At 35.0% G+C, this 7,504-nt stretch overlaps 1 pseudogene; it reads left to right on the top strand.

Annotated features, from left to right (window-relative positions):
- The first annotated feature begins 6,358 nt into the window (after positions 1-6,358).
- LOC107986889 (small integral membrane protein 15-like) lies at positions 6,359-6,891 on the top strand (annotated as a pseudogene).
- Positions 6,892-7,504: the final 613 nt, after the last annotated feature.

Genomic DNA, 7,504 nt, shown 5'->3' on the forward strand with positions numbered 1-7,504 from the left:
ATAAGTATAAATTGGCAGATATTAAAAAATACATGGTGTTATCTAATAATGCCATTTCTCAGTATAAGTTTTGCCCTAAGGAAATATGTTCATATGTACTTATGTAAAAATGTTCATCATGGCATTGCTTATACTAAAAGCAGGGAGAGAGAGAGAGCGAGGGAGAGGAGAGAGAAAAACCCTTAGTGCCCATTAATGGAGTAGTAGATAAATGCATTTTTGTTAGATATAACTAAATATACCATAGACTGCATATTATATAAAATTACCAGTAGTTGTTAAGGTAGATCCACGGGTACTAATTTTCTTTGGATAGCTCTCCATGTGCATACACTGTAGGGGTAAATCTGTATGTACCAACATGGATTAGGTCTCCAAGATAAAGTGTAAAAAGCATTGAAGAAAATGTTCCGTCATTTAAGGTAAAAATGCATATAAAAATAAGAATTAAAATATACAGTAAAATATTTCTCTTTGTATGCAAATATTTTATGTAAATGAACAGAAAAAATGGCTGGATGAATGACCACACAAAAATTGAGACAGTAATACTTCAGGGAGTTAAGAGGGAATCAGCATTTGGAAGGAGTCATCAAAGGAGTGAATAGTGGACATCTATTATTGTTACTCCCCTGCATCTATTACACCTTTTAAAAGTACATGAATTTGCTTTTGGAGAAACTTCTCCATCTGTCAACCAATATGCTTGGGTGGAACTGAACACCCCGATCCAAGATTGAAACATGTAAACAAGACCAAAAGCAATCAGTGTTTTCTAGTTTCATGGAAACAGTGATTGGCTCAAGACCATAAATCAAAACAAATGAAACTCAATTCCGGAAACTTAAAAAGCTATTGTAAAATATCAAAGTGAAAGGAGGAAAGCTAAAGCCATTGCAGTGACCTTACAACCTTAAAAAGAGAGCCTGAGGGGGAAAAACAAACAAACAAAAAACAACATTGTGGAAGTTCCAAGGTGTACGCAAAGAGGGTATTAGGTTCTGGCCACCGCTGCCACCATTGGGTATAGATCCATAAATCCCCACAACTGCCTAAGATTTTTTTCAATTGAGGTCCCTTAGGCTTACTTTTTTTGTTATAATTTTCACTAGAAAAATATATTTGTGTACTTATGAAAAACAAATAAAGGGAAACTCATGATTAGAATAAAGGATTTCTTTTTAAAATAATTTTTAAATTGACAAGAATAATATATATTTATGGTATACAACATGATGTTTTGAAATATATATACATTGTGGAATGGCTCAACAGAGCGAATTAACTTATGCATTACCTCACATTCTTATTGTTTGTGGTGAGAACACTAAAAATCTACACTTAGCGACTTTGAAGCATACAATCCATTGCTATAACTATACTTGCCATACTGTATACTCGGCATGCTATAGGATTTCTGAGGTCCACTCATTCTTCTGAGTGTAAGGTTTGTATTACAGTTGAGGTTTTATTAAAGTAATAGGGTGTGAATCATAAGAAAATACTGTAAAAAATATTACACTTTATCCTAGAAGATACAACACAAGGATGTAATCACTTCTAATCCTTGTTAGGATTATCTGTATATAAATCATAAACACATATAATTCGAAGGTAAAAATTGTAGGTGGAGACAAACAAAATCTTTAGTCTGACTAAACAACAGAAACGTTGCCATCAATTTCCAAACTCCTTCTCCCCTAATTATTGTTAACAGAAAATGTGGGTGCTTCATTTAAAATGCCACTCTCTAAAATGATGTGAGCAGTGTGAAATTTATAGGTAAGAGACAAACACACTTCTTGTAACTGCTGTGCTTATCTGAAAAGAGAACTGCATCTTTGAATAGAGACTTTAAAATAAACCCTCTTTTGTCTTCTTCCTTTTTCCCCTTGTACTTCACTTTCTGGTCTCTTTTCTACACCTCTTGGAGGAGTTCAAGCACAGCAATCCATTCACTTCCTCTCTTTGTGCCTCTGCTCTCCTTCCAGCCAGCTATGTTCCTCCCCTAGCACATTTCGAGGACGGTGCCTCACCATGATAGCCCATATTCATCACTCCAGCTCAGCTGCGGAGGGGTGGGCTCCACTGTTACCTCACGTGTGCTAATGGCCAGTAGGCAATTGCTGGTGGTGATGACTTTCAGTTTCTAGATACCAATCTGACTTAACGAGTTACTTCCAAATATGTAGTATATATCCTCTTTGTGTATTATTTCCATGGCTACTCAGTCCCTCAATTATTTTCTAAAATGATGCTACTGCTTACAATGCCAGATTTGTATAATCTAAACAAACAGGTGGTCTGTCTGGCGCATGCTGGCAAGCCAGATTGTTAATTGTAAATTAAGCTCAAAGAAATTCCTGGTTTGGGGCATAGCATCAATTCACTTAGCAAAGGAGTAAATTTGTAATCTAAAGCCTTCTTGAAAAACTGTGTCATTAGTAACTTGAATTGTATGTTTAAAAAGACAAAACAGGCCAGGCACCATGGCTTACGTCTACAATCCCAACACTTCGGGAGTCCAACGCAGGGGGATTGCTTGAGGGCAAGAATTATCAGCCTGGGTAACATATCAAGATCCCATCTCTATAAGACAATGTTTTTTTTAATTAGCCAAGTGTGGTGATGTGCACCTGAAATTCCAGGTTCTCAGGTTGCTAAAGCGAGAGGACTGCTTGAGCCTAGAACTTCGAGGCTGGCAGTGAGCTATAATCATGCCACTGCACTGCAGCCTGGGCAACAGAGCAAGGCTGTGTTTAAAAAAAAAAAAAAAGGCAAAACAAGTTAAAATGATATGTGCTAGTGCATATGTTTTTTTCTTGGACTTCAGAGACATAATGCAGACCTGACACATACAGCACCCCTCCATCAGTCAATGCAAGGCTCCTTTGTGGTTTCATTTCATTTTATTATTTTTCTAAACTTGTTTTCTATTATATCTATTTTTATTATCCAACTCTAATTGCTTTAATGTATTACTTTCAAATGCATGCCTCCTTCAAATAGTAAGTTCTATTTTATATGTATTTTCTTATTTTAAAATGACATAGTGCTTTGATCTTGTACTGATGTTTACTCTTCATTCTTAGCCATGTTGTTATATGATTCCTACCTTTTTGCAGCATAGAATTCCACTGAATACTATCGCTACATTTTGCTTATCCATTCCCTCAGTAATAAATCTAATGAAGCCTTCTTTGCTATTGCAAATCATGTGCAACGAACATTCTCATATATATCTATTTGTAACACTGTATATGTTATTTAATTCCACAAAAATGTACTAAGTACCAAATAAGCATTGTGAACTGTTCTAGGTATATAGGATACATCAGTGAGCAAAAGAAACAAAAAGCCCTGGCCTCAAATGAGTTTATATTCCAGAGGATTTTCTCTACAGAATATATCTGTGAATAGGGCCCCTGGATTTCATGACAGAAACATTCCTAATTTCACTAAACATTGTCAGAATCTGAATAGCTGCACCAAGTTAAACAGTCATCAGTAATATGTGAGGATCCTTGTTCTCCTGCCCCATACTTTGTTGACTCAGGAAATTATAAAACTCCCTAATATCTGGCAACCCAATAGAAATAAAATGACGTAATTTCTTCAATCACTAGAAAGTTTAGGGTTTCAACACATCTCTAAGTTATGTGGTTCTACACTGTGTAAACTGCCTATTCATAATTGTTTCCAATTTTTCTGCTCTTCTTTTTATTTTAAAGCATTTAAAAATATTTTTAGCAGAAAAGAAGTATTGGAAATATAAAAAGCTAGAAAAGTACAAAAGAATAAACCCAAACTAAGAAGGTAGGGTACAGATAATGATCAATAATTGCCATTTATTTCTTAATGAAATAGAAAAAAATGAGCTCAGTAAAGCTCTAAAGATACAATATTTTTTAAAAATTGGTTTATTAGAGAAAAAAACCATAAAATAGGCAAAACTTTGGCAAGGTGTAACAAAAAGATGGAAGATGTATATACAGTACAAAAGCAGATAAACAATTCATATGAATGTTCCTATTAAGGACAAAATTAAAATGATGATTTAAAACAAAAACAAATAAATCAGTCCCACATGGCTTAAGAGGTACATTCTAGGAAATTTTTGGTGATAAGATATACAAGTTACATAAAATATTTAAAAACAAGAAAGTTGGTCATATCATGTAATAAGGCTTAAAATTATTTATTTCAAAACAAAACAAGGACATACAGGCTACCAAAAAGCTAGTTAATTCCACTGTTTGCCAGTGTAAAGGATTAGCCATTATGGGAACTACATTTCCTATAAAACTACAAAACCAGCCGATGTTTTTGACAGAGCAAGACTCTGATCCTCAAGGAAAGGGAAAAGTAACGTAGCAAGCTTATTTCCAGACTTACTTCCCAAACCGGTTTCCAGTCTGCAGCATAAAGAACAGGAACCCAAATAAAGCCTACCAATCTCAATCTCTGCCTGAATGGACACTGGATTTCAGGTAGGACAAGGAGCTGTGGGACGGGGTAATGGAAAGGAAGAATATGAACAGAGAAATTGTGCTGCAGATCTGCAGCCTGTCTCTATAAGACTTTGGCTAAGTAATGTTCTGTGTATACAAAATGTCTACGATAGCACCATCAGACAGCAATTTCCTAGGCCTTATATAAGAATAGTAATAGTTTGTGCCACTACCAGCCATAGTAGAGAAACCTCATAAGTATGGGGCATTAGATAGAATTCTTAGAATGGTCTCATCTCAATATTAGGACTGATTCTTCTAGGAAAAAAGACTGAAAAGCATTACCAGAACATAAAAGAAAACCCTGAATGAATCAACAGATCTCAGGTGACATAACTGCTTGCCAGAACGAAGCCCCACATTCTTTAAAGGAATACAAAAATGTCCAACATGAACGACATAATCTAGAACACAATAAAACATTCCCATGTATGCAAGGAGGCAGGATAATATGATCTATAACTGGAATAAAAATAAATCAATAAAAACAAACTCATAAATAAATGATAAAAGTAACAGAAAAGAATATTGACATAATTATTAGAAATATGTTCCACATGACAAGAATATAAAGGAAATTACAAACATGATGAGAAAAGATAATATAAAAAAACAGACAAAAATAGAATTCCTAAAGAAAAAAATCCAAAATTAGACACTGGAGCATATTGGACACTACAAAAGGAAAAACAAGTGAATTAGAAGGCAAAGAAATAAAATCTATAAAAATTAAGCACAAAGTAAAACGAAAATCATCAGTTACCTGTGGGAAATATTAAGCAGTCAAATACGGTATAAGTAGAGACCAAAAATGAAAAGTAGGAGTAACGAGAAAAAAATTCAAGAAGTAGTGGCTGAAAATTTTCCGTATTTGACGAAAACTATAAGCTCACAGTTCTAAGAAGCTCAACAAATAAAAGCAGAATAAATATAATCATACCAAAGCACCTCCAATTGTTCTACTGTGAAAAACTTTAAAGTAGCCAGAATAAAAGGATGCCTGATACACAGAGAAATAAAGTTAAGAATGGCAGTTGACTTCTCATCAGAAATGATGCAAAGTAAACAAAATGCAACATTAGAGTACTGTGAACAAAACATTGTCAACCTAGAATTCTGTGTCTAAATAAATGGCCTTTCCAAAATGAAAGCAAACTACCTTCCTGCTTCTAGTCTGGAGGTGAGCTGGGAGTGGAGGTCTGGGTCCTAGGCTCAGTACATGACATAGGGAAAGCTGCCAGTAGCTGTTGCCATGTTCCCTCCCTGCGCTCAATGCAAGTGGACACGGTGCCAGGGTATTAGATGTTGCATGGCAAGATGAGGCCCAATTCCCAGAGACCCTATGCATCATGAGGCCCTGCAGGGTCTGCTGTAGACTGAGGGGCTCACATCTGCCATGAAGGCCAAAGTTTAGAAATGAAAACCATCTCATGTGTGAGGGGCTATGTTGAAGGAGGGAAAGGAGTGAACAAAGGGGTAAACTCAAGAAAGGAAAAAAAAAAAGAAAAAGGAGAGAGTGCAGATGGCAGGAGTGCCACCAGCTGCAGTTTCAGGTGCTGAATAGGTCTGGTCCACAGGTCAAGCTCTGTCTACCCCTTTTAGAAGGATGAAGGAATATCTATTCCTGAAGTAGGAGAGGCACTTTCATTTGGTCTCTAATTGAAATTTCAGCCCCAAATTGAGATTCACAGGCGAATTTAAACCTTCTCTCAGAAGTATATGGTAGAACTACAAGAGAAACAAACAACAAATGCTCATCTGAAATTTTGATTGTCTCACTAGTAATCCCAGAAAAAAAAATTAGAGGCTATTTCTCAAGCATATGTTTTCTTAGGACTAATAAACAGATGTCTAATATAAAGACTTGGGCTGAGTATGTTGTGGAATAATGTGCAAAGGACCCTTCCAGCTTTTTAGAACTGATTTTGGCCCTTATTCCACTGATCCTAGGAAATGTCATACATCCCTGGAAACTGTTCAAAATGACTGAAGCCAGGAAAAAGGATCAAAAGAAGAAACAAAAACATCAAGAAAATATCGCAAAAGCCAAACAACTGAAAAAGGACTGATGAAAAGAATAGGCTTTGCAACTAGAGAAAACCTTGAAAGAACACACTATGGTTTCTTCTCTGGTTTGTATGATAGCTTATTGAGTAAGCAGTCTGACCTTACAGAAGAATCATATTAGTAATTTTTAATCTTGAGTGTAGTTTTAGACTCTGTTGACAGTCATTTTAAATTAGCATTTGCTAATCTACAAATCCTTTATAACTAGTTAGTCGTCTACCATTTTAAGGCCTATGTACTAAAATGAAAACACCCCATGGGGAAAATAATGTTAGATTTTTAAATCTATTATTCAAATAATGGCTTAAACTGAGGTTCTGTTCTGGGCAAAAAAAAAAATAATCATGTGAAAGACAGAATCGTCTTCTCTAAAGCAAAAAATGCGCTTTGGCTTTAAAAAGATACAAAATATTAATTACACTTTTAGCATTATAGCTTATTTCTTGGAATATAATTATTTCTGACTTTTTCAAAGCAAAGCAATATTAACCAGTGAGCACTTCTAATTTTTGCATTTCTTTTCCTTGATTTGTCTTTGAGATACTGGTAATCAACATTCTGCATTTTGTTTATCTAATTTTATAAATATTTCTCTTATCATCTTGACTATGTAAAATACCACCTACTGGATATAACAAATGTTATACTTATAAACACTTTCATTTTCTTAGAGATGAATTTCTTAAAGAATAAAGCTATGATTGTAAATTGGCAGTAAAAATGCCAATTATTTTAGTAACCTAGTGCCAGATAATTCTTGCTTGTGCTAACTATAGAAATGTGAAATGTTTAAAATATCTTCTCAGATAATTTGCTGATTATATTGATACTGTGTCCACAATTTGTGGGTTCTTGGTCTCACTGACTTCCAGAATGAAGCCACGGACCCTGGCGGTGACTGTTACAGTTCTTAAAGGTGGCATGTC

This window comes from Homo sapiens, chromosome 8 (assembly GCF_000001405.40).
Source record: "Homo sapiens chromosome 8, GRCh38.p14 Primary Assembly".
Classification (NCBI taxonomy): Eukaryota; Metazoa; Chordata; class Mammalia; order Primates; family Hominidae; genus Homo; species Homo sapiens.